Source organism: Homo sapiens, chromosome 4 (genome assembly GCF_000001405.40).
Source record: "Homo sapiens chromosome 4, GRCh38.p14 Primary Assembly".
In the NCBI taxonomy this organism is placed as follows: Eukaryota; Metazoa; Chordata; class Mammalia; order Primates; family Hominidae; genus Homo; species Homo sapiens.
The window spans coordinates 187,308,166-187,323,984 of NC_000004.12; the positions used below are offsets into that span (position 1 = coordinate 187,308,166).

Here is a 15,819-nt window from a genome sequence, read left to right on the forward strand (position 1 = left end):
AGTTTTTTCCTGCTGAATTCTAAGTCCACCTTAAGTAATAAACTTTAAAAATCATTTGTCCTTTCTGGGTTCTATGCTGGGGTCGAGAAGGTGTCATTTTAGTATAGATAATGTAGGCATTTTTTTTCCAAGGAGTGAAATATTTATTGTGAATAAAATTGAAGATATTAATTTCCAAATTCCCCTTGTTGGTAAAGACATAGGAAGAAAACAGAAATGCCCTTGGCAGATGAAAGAAGGATTGCTAGGCACTGCAGACTCAGTACATGGGGAAGTTTAAAATTAAGAGACAAAAGAACAAGTTTGTAAAGCCAGCTTTAGAGGTTTCACAATGAAGGAGCTTAAAAGTGAAGGCTTTGGACATTCAGATGCTGGAGCCTCGGTAGAGGCAACATGCTGGGTAGTGCTGAGTACATTTATTTAGAAGTCATTGAATTGTCTTTTCTATTTATGATCTGTGTATTGAAGCTATTCACCAGATTCTTATTTGTGCTTTTCTTCATAGCATGCATTTTACTTGCCATTAATTGATTCAAAATTATTTTTCTAGCAATTATTCATGCTGATGTGCTCAAGCTTTATTGTTAGATCTAGAAACAGTGATAGGTAAGATGTCCTGAGTACTTGCCCAGGGATATTCACTAAATCTTCACAGCAATTCTAGGACAGAGTCAACATTACCCTGTCACAGCTGGGGATGCTAGGCCTTAGAGAAGTTTAGGAACTTGTCCAAGGTCACACACAATTAGTAAAAATAGTAGAATTGGAATTTGAACCTGGGTAGTTGGGCTCCAGGCCTCCTCCTCTTATCCATTTTATCAAACCAAGTAACACTGTACATTGTTTACGTTGTTTTATTGGAATTATACATAGCATTCTGGAGTGCAACTTAGATTCAAGATACCACATGTACTTTTTATGTTCTGAAGTTTTACATCTAATCTATTCCTACAAATTAATGTATTTTAATCATAATGTCAGTGTAGCATCTAGACATAAAAAAATGGGTATATTACCTTGAACCACCCAAATTTGACCAGTAGGTTGAAAAGAAGTATGGCTGCATTCTGCGCTTCCTCTCTGACACTCTAGCACAGGGCATTGAGGTATAAGAGAATATCAATATTGGCACATATCCAACTCACAGATGTTTGTCTTTTCTTGATGCTCCCTGGTGCCTTAGCTTTGGCCACAGTGCACATAAGCAAAGTGACAGGGCAAGAGAGCCACAAGGAGAAGAGGCTGGAAGTGCAAGAAGGCTGAATGTACGTGAGATGTAGACCAAGGGCCAGGGGCCCAGATTCACAATAGACATCTGCAGTGGGAGGTTGCTGCAGCTACTAGAGATTGCAAGAAGGCAACTATTAGAATCGAAGTCTGTCATGCCTGCTACATGAACTGCAAACATAATTTGGAGGCAGAAGATCCAGTCTGAGGGCTGGTCACGTAGGCATTCTTGGGAGAGGGCAGTACAGGCATGCCTCAGAAATATTGTGAGTTCAATTTCAGACCACTGCAATAAAGAGAACATTTCAATAAAGTGAGTCACACGAAGACTTTGGTTTCCCAGTGCATATAAATCTATGTTTACACTGTACTGTAGTCTATTAAGTATGCAGTAGCATTATTAAAAAATACTCTACATACCTTAATTAAAAATACTTCATTGCTAAAAATGCAACCAACAATCAGAGCCTCCAGCAAAGTCATAATCTTTTTCTGGTGGGAATCTTGCCTCTATGTTGATGGCTTCTGACGGATCAAGGTGTTGAATGCTGAAGGTTAAGGTTGCTGTGGCAATTTCTTAACATAAGACAACAGTGAAGTTTGCTGCATCAATTGACTTTTCCTTTCAGACAATATTTCTTTGTTGCATATGATGCTGCTTGATAGCATTTTTGTCATATTAGAACTTCTTTCAAAATTGGAGTTAATTCTCTCAAGCCCTGCCACTGCTTGATCAACTAAATTTATGTAATACTTTAAATCTTTTGTTGTCATTTCAACAATGTCACAGCATCTTCACCAGGAGAAGATTCTGTCCCAAGAAGCCACTTTCTTAGCTGATCCATAAGTTGCGATTCCTCATCTGTTATAGTTTGATCATGAGATTCCAGCAACTCAGTCACATCCTCATGCTCCACTTCTAATTTCAGTTCTCTTGCTAGTTCTACAACATCTGCAGTTACTTTCTCCACTGAAGTCTTCAATCCCTCAATATTATCTGTGACAGTTGGAACCAACTTCTTCCGAACTCCTGTGAATGTTGACATTTTGACCTCCTCCCATGAATTTCGAATGTCCTGAATAGCATCCCAAATGTTAAATTCTTTCCAGAAGGTTTCCAACTTACTTTTCCCAGATGCGTCAGAGCAATCACTGTCTATGGCAGCTGTGGCTTTATGAAATATATTTCACAAATAATAAGACTTGAAAGTTGAAATGACTCCTTGATCCATGGGCTGCAGAATAGATGTTGTGCTAGCAGACATGAAAACAACATTAATATCTTTGTACATCTCCATCACAGCTCTTAAGACAGGTACATTGTCAAAGAGCAGTAATGTTTTGAAAAGAATCCTTTTTGTTTTTCTGAAAAGTAGTTCTCAACAGTGGGCTTAAAATATTGAGTATACCATGCTGTTAAAAGATGTGCTGACATCCTAGCTTCCCTGTTCCCTTTACATAGCACAAGAAGAGCAGATTTAGCATAATTCTTAAGGGTCCTAGGATTTTTAGAATGGTAAATGAGCATTGGCTTCAACTTAAAAAGTAACGAGCTAGGTTGGGTGTTGTGGCTCATGCCTGTAATCCCAGCACTTTGGAATGCTGAGGTGGGAGGATTGCTTGAGCCCAGGAGTTTGAGACCAGCCTGGGCAACATAGTGAGACCTTGTCTCTAGTAAAAATGAAATAAAATATTTTTGAAATTTGAAAAAAAAATACAGCAGTTACATTAGCCCTTCACAAGAAAGTCAGCCTGTCCTTTGAAGCTTTGAAGCCATGCATTGACTTCTTTCCAGTTATGAAAGCCTTCTTAAATAGGAGATGCCATTTGCCTCTGATGGCTCTTCTTTCAGTAGGAGGGTGTTTTGTATAGATTAAAAATCAGTTGTTTAGTGTAGCTACGTTCATCAATGATCTTAGGTAGATCCTCTGGATAACTTACTGCAGCTTCTACGCTAGTATTTGCTGCATCACCTAGCACTGTTATGTTATGGAGATGGCTTCTTTTCTTAAACCTCATGATCCAGCCTTTGCTAGCTTGAAACTTTTCTTCTGCCAATTCCTCACCTCTCTCAGGCTTCATAGAATTGAATAGAGTTAGGGCCCTGTGCTGGATTAAGCTTCGGCTTAAGAAAATATTGTAGCTGGTTTGATTTTCTGTGCAGACCACTCAAACTTTCTTTAAATCGGCAGTTAGGTTGTTTTGCTTTCTTACCATTTGTGTGTTCACTGGAGTAGCAGTTTTAATATCATTCAGGAACTTTTCCTTTGGATTCACAACGTGGGTAACTGCTTGGTGCAAGAGGCCCAGCTTTTAACCTGTTTTGGCTTTGGACATTCTATCCCCACTAAGCTGAATCATTTCTAGCTTTTGATTTAGGGTAAGAGATGTGTGACTCTTCCTCTCACTTGAAAACCTAGAGGCTACTGTGGGGTTATTAATTGGCCTAATTCCCGTCGTTGTGTCTTAGGCCTGAGGAGCGGGAGAGAGATTGGAAAATGGCTGGTCAGTGGAGCAGTCGGTGCTCATGCAACATTTCTGGATTAAATTCTTTGTCTTACATGGGTGCAGTTCATGGTGCCTCAAGACAATTACAATAGTAATATCAAAGGTCACTGATCACAGATCATCATAAGAAACACAATAATAACGACAATTTGAAATCACAAGAATTACCAAAATGTGACATGGTGATATGAAGCGGGACATGCTGGGAAAATGGCACTAATAGACTTGCTTGAGGCCAGGTTGCCACAAACCTTCAATCTGTAAGAAATGTAATATCTGCAAAGCACAATAGACTGACATACAATAATATGAGCTAGGCCTGTGTTATCAAACCAGAGTTTGCTTTAGCAACAGGGACACCATCTTGGTTAGTCCAATTCTCATCTTCGGAGATCTGGAGTGCATCTCTCTGAGAGTCTGTACAATCCTTGTTAGAACCCTGAGTTCAGAGTAATAAAAAGGGATGAAATGATTAAGGGACTGGACTTTTGCTAGACAGTAGACTCCTCTGTGTGCCCTAGGTTGTTCTTCTCCTCTAACACATCAGAGTAGATTGTATCTTAAAAAGGAGTATTTGTGTTCAGAGCAACTGCTGTTGTGCCTGCTCTTCAGGTGACAGATGGTAGGCTTCTCTCTGAACCAAAAGCAATGTTTGCCATCCTAAAAATGTGGACATAATATGTTATATGAAAGTTTTTATTTGAGGCCACGTAATATGGCTTTATAGTTTTGTTTCCTGGTTATTAGTCTTATCAAAGTTACTGCTGGAATGCCTGTGCAGGGAACAAAAAGAGGATGTCAAGGAAGCAGTGACCAGCAAATCCTGATAGAAGTTTAAATTCCCTGACAATCCAATAGGAATAAAGACATAATCAGCTGCATATTGGAGCACATTATTAAAACAGCCACTCAGGTTTTGAAATATCCATTTAAAATAGTTCAATTAAAACCCAATTACAGAAACGTTCCACACGAACACTGAAACATCTATTTTATTATGATTCTGCATATCAGTAGCCTTTAAATCTTAAAGATGAACCAAAATGTCTTTTAAAATGAGCACTAAAAGGGGAGACCCACAACATAGTCTCTGCTGCTTCAAAGGGGTTTCTGCCTTGATTTAAGAACATGAGTTCCAGTTGTCCCAATTACCGTTTACAGTAACCGAAAGAATAATAAATAGAGGATGCCTGTGAGTATCTGTTGTGATGCAAGAAATATTCATCTTAGGCACACTAAGCAACTAAACCACAAAATTGGACTTTTTGCAACTGTTCGAAAAGTTAACTAAAGATGAATATGCATTTTATGCATATCAGTGCTTTTATCATATGCCATTTAATTATAGGTTATTTTAAACTATTCATTCATAAAAAATTAATTTATTTAGCACTTTAGAATACCTAAGACATATAGTAATATAAATGTATGCAAGATTTTCAGAAAGTCACTTCTTATTTTGCATTTTTGGCTAGAGTTCTCTTTCGGCAAATATAGGTGTGAGCCAGACCTCACAATGTAGCAATTATGCTTTTTTTTTTTTTTTTTGAGACAGAATCTCACTCTGTCACCCCCAGGGTGGAGTGCAGTGGCATGATGTCGGCTCACTGCAACCTCTGCCCTCTGGGTTCAAGCGATCCTCCTGCCTCAGCCTCCCCAGTAGCTGGGATTACAGGTGCATGCCACCAAGCTCAGCTAATTTTTGTATTTTTAGTAGAGACGGGGTTTCACCATCTTGGTCAGGCTGGTATTGAACTCCTGACCTCATGATCCACCCGCCTCGGCCTCCCAAAGTGCTGGGATTACAGGCGTGAGCCACCGCGCCCATCCACAATTATGCCTTTTTCCCGGCTCACTAAGGATTTAGAGATTCATATTCCTCTTCTTGTCACAGCCATGAATTCCTTTCAGCATCCACCTGCATGCTTTGCCTGGCATTGTCTGCTTGGGAACCAGAGCCCTGTTACTGTCTTACTTGAAAGGCAAGTTTTCCTAAGCTATCTACCAGATTACTTTAGATCATAGCCTTCTTTAGATTTCTCTAAATTATATGTCTTTGGACCTCAGATATACATGGTCTTCTTTTGAGAAATGTCTATTCAAATTTTTTGCTCATTTTTAAATTGGATTGTTTGGTTTCTTCCTATTGAGTTGTTTCTTGTATATTTCAGATGTTAATCCCTTATTAAATGTAGGGTTTGCAAATATTTTCTTCTATTCCACAGGTTCTCTCTTCACTTGGATGATTGTTTCCTCAGATGTGCAGAAGCATTTAAAGTTGATATAATCTCATTTGTCTATTTTTTTTTATTTTCTTGCTTGTGCTTTTGGGTTCATGTAAAAGAAATTATTGCTCAGACCAAAGTTATAGAGCTTTTCCCCCATATTTTGCTTCAGCAGGTTTATAGTTTCAGGCCTTACATTTAGGTCTTTAATCTGCTTTGAGTTTACTTCTGTATGTGGTGTGAGATAGCATAAGACATACAAAAGGCCAGCAAGTATACGGAAAAAGAAGACTTGCAAATAACCAACAGGCATATGAAGAGATGCTCAGCATCACTAATCAGCAGAGAAATGCAAATGAAAGCCACAACAAAATAGCAGCTCACACCTGTTAGAATGGCTTTTATCAAAGAGATGAAAGTTAAATGTTGGCAAGGATGTAGAAAAGACGAAGGCCTTGCATACTGCTGGTGGGAATGTAAATTAGTACAGACGTCATGGAAAACTGTACAGAGCTTCCTCAAAAAGTAAAAATAGACCTACCATATGATCCAGCAATCCCACTAGTGGGTATATATCCAAAGGAAAGTCAATAGCTCTGTATGACAGGTATTTGCATTCTCATGTCCATTGCAGCATTATTCCCAATAGCCAAGATATGGAGTCAAACTAAGTGTCCATTAATGGTTGAATCAATAAAGAAATGTAGTATATATACACAATACAATGCTATCCAACCTTTAAAAAGAAGGATATCTGGTCATTTGTGACAACATGGATAAACCTGGAGGACATTATGTTATTTGAAGTAAGCCAGGCACAGAAAGAAAAATATTGCATGATCTTACTTACATAATTGCATATTAAATTGAGAGAAGCTGAACTCATAGAAGTAGAGAGAATGGTGGCTACCAGAGGTTTGGGAGATGTTGGACAAAACAAACAAACAAGAAAAGTAAGGATGTAACTTCAAACCAAAAATAAAGGAGTACCAACGGCTTTTTGACTGAATGCCCACAAATACGGCAGCTGTCACTTTGTTTACCTTTGTCATACTGATTTTGTAGTTGGACCTGTCATGGCCATTGCTGGAATTAACAAATGAGTGGAATGATTACAAAGAAAAATTGAAGAATCTATTTTGTTAATTTTTATGGTAATGTATATTGAGAGATTATGGGTTTCTCAAGAATGCCAGTAACGGCCAGATGCAGTGGCTCATGCCTGTAATCCCAGCACTTTGGGAGGCTGAGGCAGGCGGATCACCTGAGGTCAGAAGTTCGAGACCAGCCTGACCAACATGGAGAAACCCCCTCTCTACTAAAAATACAAAATTAGCCAGGCGTGGTGATGCATGCCTGTAATCCCAGCTACTCAGGAGGCTGAGGCAGGAGAATCGCTTAAACCCGGGAGGCGGAGGTTGCGGTGAGCCCAGATTGCGCCACTGCACTCCAGCCTGGGCAACTAGAGTGAAACTCCATTAAAAAGAGAGAGAGGAGAGAGAGAGAGAGAAAGAGAAGGAAGGAAGGAGAAAGGAAAAAAATAATACCAATAACATACTTGTGCATGGCTCAACAAATAATATTTTTATTCAAGATATATTTACAATATAAGAATGCACAAACACTTCAGTGTGTTTATACATTGGCATATCGGGGTTTTATTATTAATGTTGGCGTATAGCTTTTCATCAGGCCTCTTCCTTACTCAAAAATATGTGAATTTCCCCAATTTTCTGCTTTATCAATCCCCAGACTCCTCTGTCTGGTTGTCAATTCTCTCTCCAGTTCCGCTCCACCGTATGCATTCAACAATATATTTTTTGACTCCCCAAGGTGCACACTCTACTTAAACTTGCCCCCTCTTCACCTGTGTTAACTCCACCCAAACTTCAGGCAACTGTATCACATCAGCAACGGAGCGTTCTCTCAAATACCTCAGCCCTTACACACTCAGCTCCCCAACTGAGCACTTACTTGAGGACTTAGGTGTACATTTATATCAATTTGTGGTATGACACCCTTTTATCATTTTCTACTTGTCACTCTATCTCCCTGCAACTGCTCTGTAAGCACAAGCATCTACATAGTGAATAGCCAACAATGAAGTTCAGACTAGCAAAGTATTGACAATGCCATTTTCTAGGTCAGTTTCTGAGTGGGCTGAGATGACTGAAAGTAGAAGTCAACTCCAGAAGCAGCTGATTTCCAGCAAAAAGAGCGATGATTACTCCTCTGCTTACCAGCAGTTACACCTATTGATACTGGAGCCTCCCCCTACCACGAGGTAGCTTCTGCTGCTATTATCTTGCTGCTCTGGGTGAGTCCCTGAGAATTCGGGGTTAGGGAAGTAAAGAGGGGAGCAACAGTCTGTAATCAACTTAGGACATTTCATTGCTATAATCTCATTACTCAAGAGTTTTTTTTTAAATATCATAGAATATAATTAAGTCTGGTCCCAATTTTTGCCCAGATGGGAAGAAAAGGAAAAATTCATGAAATATAAGTCTAAGGTGACTTTTTAAAAATTGTATTTTCTTTTTGGAAATAACAAAGTCTATAATAAAATGTTTATGTAATTTTAATTATAAGATTGTAAATAAAATGCATGCATATGAAATGCATTTATTACAACTTTTATACAATTTTGTGAAGCTAATCATATATATGTGTGTATATATATATATGTGTGTGTGTGTGTGTGTATATATATATATATATACACCTCTGTCTTTATATAGATTTCTTTGCATGGATCTATCCAGACAGATACCACTCTTTAAAGTTTTATATATTTTAATCTCCAGTGAGAAATACCAAAGTGAACTAGGTCATCTCTTTCCATGGTGGAGCTGATGGCTGACTCCAACTGTGACCAAATGATCTCTCCTTGAGGCCAGATAAGAAAGATGAACATGGGATTATTTTTCCTTATGTGTATTTTCAAGAGCTCATTAATAATTTCAGTTTCATGTTGATGAGAGTTAGCTTTCAGAAACATTTATTTTATACAAAAAAAAAAGACTAAGAGCTCGTTATCTCTTCATGATGATATAACTTTTCTGCAGAATTTCTAAAAATCTTAAAGGACAATTGTGTGTGTTTGAGGAGAAATACAGGGCCTGACTCAGAATCTTCCAGTTACATTCTCTCTTGTTACGTTTATAAATTCTATACCCTGAAAACAGGAAATATGTTCCAACTGTTGGAAACTTTCAGTTACAACTGATTTGTGTTTTTCTGCTATGTTCATTATTTCAGTTTGTTATTACCAACGATCTCTCTTTTCTTAATAGACCAAAACATAAACAACTCAGGCTTCCTTAAGAAATCTTGGCTCGCTGCAACCTCTGCCTCCAGGGTTCAAGTGATTTTCCTGCCTCCACCTCCCGAGTAGCTGGGATTACAGGTTTCCACCACCACACCTGGCTAATTTTTGTATTTTTAGTAGAGATGGGGTTTCACCATGTTGTCCAAGCTGGTCTCGAACTCCTGACCTCAGGAGATCCACCCGCCTCGGCCTCCCATAGTGCTGGGATTACAGGTGTGAGCCACTGCACCAGGCCCATAATTTCTAATAATTATTTATACCTACTCTATGTTCTGCACTGTGCCAAATTCTTTGTATGGATCATCTCATTTAATCTTCAAAGAAACTCAGTGAGGTCAATATAATTATTATCACTGTTTTCTGAGAAGAGGACTGAAGCTTAAATTGCCTAATGATCCATGAAAATGCACTCATGGACATCGACACCCCCCACCCCACCCCAACACCATTGCTGCTGCCACTGGTGCAAACACGCATGCAGATGCTCATGGCCAAGCCCCCGCCAATGAACCACCCCTGCCGCTGCCAGTGCATGCACATGCGGGAAGACCACAGCCCTGTTACTGCTGGTACCCCCCAGAAGCTAACACGTGTGCACCTCCCCACAACACAGCTGCTGGCACACATGAGCAAGCATGGATCTCAAAGCCCCAACAAAGTGCCTTGGTGGGTACCACCCAACAAAGTGTTGTGGCCAGCAGACTGGGAACATCTCTGCCCCTCCAGCACAGCAGCTTCCTTACCTGGAACAGACAGAGAACAAAGCAGGGGCCTGGTACCAGCTCCCAGAGTTAGAGTACACACCCTGGGAGTGCTGAGCTGAGCTTTGGCCCCCTAAAATCTTCCAGAAATGAAGCCATTTGATTGAACCCACCTTATACCACAAGCAAAACCCCAAGGTCATCAAAAGAGATAAAAGCAAAAAATCTCCATCCAAAAGACAGCAACTTCAAAAACTGAAGAAACATCAACTCACACACATGAGAAAGAACCAGTACAAGAACTCTGGCAACTCAAAAAGTCAGTGTCCTCTTACCTCCAGACAATGGCACTAGTTTCCCCTCAATGGTTCTTAACGTGGCTGAAATGACAGAAATAGAATCCAGACTATGGATATGAATGATGATCATCGAGATTCAGGACAACTTTGAAACTCAATCCAAGGAATCTAAGGAATACAATAAAATTTTCCAGGAGCTGAAGGATGAAATGGCCATTTTAAGAAAGAATCAAACTGATCTGATAGAGCTGAAAAACTCACTTCGAGATTTCATAATATGATGGCAAGGATTAACAGCAGAATTGACCAAGCTGCAGAAATAATCTTAGAACTCAAAAAATATATGATTTAAAATAATCAGACAAAAATTTAAAAAAAGAATCAAGAAGAGTGAACAAAACCTTCAAGAAATATGGGATTATGTAGATACACCAAATCTATGACTCATTGACATCACTGAAAGAGAGGCGGAGAAAGCAAACAATTTGGAAAACATTTTGGTGATATTGTCCATGAAAAATTTGCCAACCTCACTATTGAGGCCAACATTCAAGTTCAGGAAATGCAGAGAATCCTTGCAAGATACTATACAAGCTTACCATCATCAATACAATAGTCATTAGAGTCCCCAAGGTCAAAATGAAAGAAAAAATGTTAAAGGCAGCCAGAGAGAAGGAGCAGATCACCTGCAAAAGGAACCCCATTAGGCTAACAGTGGACCTTTAAGCAGAACCCTACAAACCAGAAGAGATTGGGAGCCTATATTTAGCATCTTAAAGAAAAGAAATTCTAACCAAGATTTTTATAGATAGCCAAATTAAGCATCATAAGCAAAAGATAAATAAGATTCTTTCCAGAGAAGCAAATACTAAGGGAACTCATTACCACCAGATCTGCCTTATAGGAGGCCCTTAAGGAAGTACTTAATATGGAAAAATTACTGGCCACCACAAAAGCACACTTAAGTACATAGACCATCAACACTGCAAAGCAACTGCACAATCAAGTCTGCATAATAACTAGCTAACAACATGACAGAATCAGATCTGCACATATCAATATTAACTTTGTAATTGGGTGAAATGCCCCAATTAAAAGGCAGAGAGTGGCAAGTTGGATAAAGAAGCAAGACCCAAAGGTATGCTATTTTCAAGAGACCCATTTCACATGCACTGACACCTATAGGCTCGAAGTAAAAGGGTGGAGAAAAATCTACCAAGCAAATGGAAAACAGAAAAAAGCAGGGGTTGCTATTCTAATTTCAGTCAAAACAGACTTTAAACCAACAATGATCAAAAATACAAATAAGAGCATTACATAAGGATAAAGCGTTCAATTCAACAAGAAGACCTAACTATCCTAAATACATATGCAGCCAACACAGGAATACCCACATTCACAAAGCAGGTTCTTAGAGACCTACAAAGAGACCTAGATAACCACACAATAATAGTGCAAGACATCAAAACACCACTGACAGTATTAGACAGATCATTGAGACAGAAAATTAACAAAGATATTCAGTACCTGAACTTGACACTTGAACAAATAAAGGAAGTAATGGACATCTACAGAACTTTCCACTCAAAACCAACAGAATATACATTCTTCTCATTTGTACATGGCACATACCATATATCAGCCACACAATGGGCCATCACATAATTTTCAGAAAATTAAAAAAAATAATTGAAATCATACCAACCACACTCAAGAACACAGCACAATATAAACAAAAATCAACACTAACGAAATCACTCAAAACCATACAATTACATGGAAATTAAACAACCTGCTCCTGAATGACTTTGGGGTAAACAACAATATTAGGGCAGAAATCAAGAAATTCTTTGAAACTAATGAGAACAAAGATATAACATATGATAATCTCTAGGACACAGCTAAAGCAGTGTTGAGAGGAAGGTTTATAGCACTAAATGCCCACATTCAAAAGTTAAAAAGATCAAAGTAATGACCTAACATTACACCTGGGAGAACTAGAAAAACAAGAGTAAGCCAACCTCAAAGCTATCAGAAGACAAGAAATAACCAAAATCAAGAGCGGAACTGAAAGAGATTGAGACAGAAAAAACATATCAAAGGTCAACAAATCAAGAAGTTGGTAATTTCAAAGAACAAAAAAGATTGATAGACCACTAGATAGGCTAATAGAGAAAAAAGGAGAAGATCTAAATAAACACAGTCAGAAATGACAAAGGGGACAGTATCACCAAACTTACAGAAATACAAAAAACTCTCAGACTACTACTACAAATACCTCTATGCACAGAAGCTAGAAAACCTAGATGAAATGGATAAATTTCTGGAAACATACGGCCTCCCAAGATTGAACCAGAGGGAAATTAAGTCCCTGAACAGACCAATGATTGGTTCTAAAATAGAATCTGTAATAAAAAGCTTACTAACAAGAAAAAGCCCGGGACCAGACAGATTCACAGCTGAATTTTACCAGATGTATAAAGAAGAGCTGGTACCATTTACACTAAAACTATTCCTAAAAATGGAGAAGAGACTTCTCCTTAACTCATTCTATGAGGCCAGCATCATCCTGATATCAAAACCTGGCAGAAACACAACAAAAGAAAACATAAAGCCAATAACTTTGATGAATATCAGTGCAAAAATCCTCAATAAAATACTAGCAAACTGAATCCAGCAGCACATCAAAAAGCTAATCTACCATGATCAAGTAGGTTTTATTCCAGGGTTGCAAGGTTGGTTCAACATATGCAAATCAGTAAATATGACTCATCATATAAACAGTAATAAAAACAAAAACCACTCGATCATCTCAATAGATGCAGAAAAGACTTTTGATAAAATTCAGCATCCCTTCATGTTAAAAATTCTCAACAAATTAGGCACTGAAGGAACTTACCTCAAAATAATAAGAGCCATCTATGACAAACCCACAGCCAACATCATACGGAATGGGCAAAAGCTGGAAGCATTTCCCTTGAAAATCACAACAAGACAAGGACACCCTCTCTCACCACTCCTATTCAACACAGTACTAGAAAGTCCTAGCCGGAGCAATCAGGCAAGAGAAAGAAATAAAAGGCATCCAAATAGGAAGAGAGGAAATCAAACTATCTCTGTTTTCAGATGATATAATTCTATACCTAGAAAACCCCATAGTCTCTGCCCAAAAGCCCCTAGATCTGATAAACAACTTCAGCAAAGTTTCAGGATATAAAATCAATGTACAAAAATCCATAACATTTCTCTACACCAACAGCTTCCACACTTAGAGCCAAATCAAGAACACAACCCCATTCACAATAGCCACAAAAAGAATAACATACCTAGGAATACAACTAACCAGGGTGGTGAAAGATCTCTACAATGAGAATTACAAACCACTGCTCAAAGAAATCAGAGATGACACAAACAAATGGAAAATCATTCATGAGTGGATAAAACATACTCCCCGTCTTTACCTTGGCTTTCCTTCTTCATGATTCTATTTTGAAACTATGTGAGCTGTGGTTAGGCTCCTTATTTTGAGAAACTGCTCAAGATAAGACAAGTTATTAAAATAAAATATTATTGGCAAAAGGATGAAAAGCTAGAAAACAGAGCAAGATAGATAATGCAACGGATAGCTGAGGGCTTTGAAAACATATATTATATAAAGTTCTGTTTTCTTGTTCTTAAGGAAAAGTTTTTTAACCAAAAAACACAAGCTACTACTCCTAGAGTGGATAAAATTCTCAAATGCATTTTCAGAACCTTACAATGTGGCTTCAAAATGGGCATTATCAATAATTACTCAAAGGCCTGATGCTATTTAATAGCAGACAGAGGAAGGTCACTGTCTTTTCCTGATCCAGAAAGTTTTTCCTATTTTGACTCCATTTTTTTCAGATGTAGTTTGACTCCAGTGATCAATACAAATTCAAATTGAATACCGTGCAGCAACAAATATGCCATAGTGCCTTTTCCTTTCTTTTTGGCCTTTTTTTGAACAACATTAATCGACAGAAGAAAGTCAAATGGTTATAGCTAAGAGAAAAAAATAAATAAAAAGGCTTCTGAGCCATAAAAGTACAAATAAAAATGTGAAAATAATTTTTGGAAGGCTTGATGAATTTTATCTTTTAGATTTAGTGCATTAGTTTACATTATGTTGGGACTTTGGTTTATGTAAAAACTGGATAGTCAAAATTATTAATAATAAAATAATGTGTTCTCAAGAGTAAATCTCATGTCTTTAAATCATATGAATCATTCATCATCATAGGAAGCCATGAATTTCCATTACATAGCTGAACAGTTGGAGCATCCCACAACAATGGAAATGTATAAGTGGGGATGATAATCGGAGGGTTCATGTGGTAGAGTACAGTCTAACCAGCTGGAGGTTCAGTGAGGCATGTGTCTTTCCCCCTGTGGTCACACAATGACCATGCAGTTGGCATGACAACTCTTTTTTCCTACCCTACGAACTTCAGGCACTGCTACTATTTGTCAGATATCTTTAAACTAAGTCAACAAGATCTATACTTAGGAATATTTAATTAATTAGATGTCCTTACTAAAGTTAATTAATTTATGAGATATGAAGGATACTTTGTAATAAGAATAGTTTTTTAAAAATATGAAACAATTTCCAATCCAGATATGGACAATAAAATTAAACTGAATGTGAACTGTTTGGTAAAAGACACAGTGAGATTTGGATGATATGAAACTTTTTCTTGGAAAAAAGTCTTTTTTGATATGTATGTGAATGACCCTATATAAATGGTAATTACATGTACTAACACTTGAAATGATAAGTGAGCAAAAATAAGTGAGTGGTTTTATAATATATTTTATTTCAATAGTTTAATACACATACTTTTTGATAAATCACAATAATATATTTTATCCATATGAACTAAAAGGCAATACTTTGAATAGTAGAAAAAATTAAATTTCCCTGCATTATAGGGTATCTAACCTTTTCAACTAATTTTTTGAGCTACTGAGCCATGATATTTTTCCTTAAAAAGCATTTTTAGAAGCATAAAGTAAACGTAGGTGATAAATTAGGTGTACACACAGGCATGTATTAATGACAGCACCCTTCTCCAGAACTTTAGGATGTTTCACGAGTGGGACATCATCTCTCTTAAATTACTATGGAGAAATTAAGGATTAGTTTCTCATGATGTTAACTGATTTCTTTAATCAGCTAGGGGTTGGCATTTGGCATTATGGTGTGCATGTGAATCTTGGGTAGAATGCATTGTATTGTTGTAAAATTTGAATTAATGTGGACATATCTTCCTTTCTCGCTGTCGTATAGTAGGAAAAGTTTTGAGCTTACACTTTGTTCTCCAAAGGATTCAGATGTGTTTGGTCATGTACAAGTGACTCAGGAAGAGTTCACGGCAGGAGAGAGAGTTTCTAGGTGTTCAAATTGGGTCCCAGGATAATAAGTTGCCGTGAAAGACCTTGCTTATGTGCCTTTCTTTCTCCACTTTGTCCCTGCCTGACCCATACCAGAGGCTTGTGTTGGAGCT

General features: G+C 37.9%; 1 long non-coding RNA gene across 1 annotated transcript in view; it reads right to left on the minus strand.

Moving 5' to 3' along the window:
• The window catches only part of LOC339975 (uncharacterized), a 201,531-nt gene that overhangs the window by 4,083 nt on the left and 181,629 nt on the right, over window positions 1–15,819 (minus strand). Inside the window, exon 2 of the long non-coding RNA NR_038931.1 lies at window positions 1,017–1,513. This is a non-coding gene — a long non-coding RNA (uncharacterized LOC339975). The remainder of the gene's footprint in view (window positions 1–1,016; window positions 1,514–15,819) is intronic.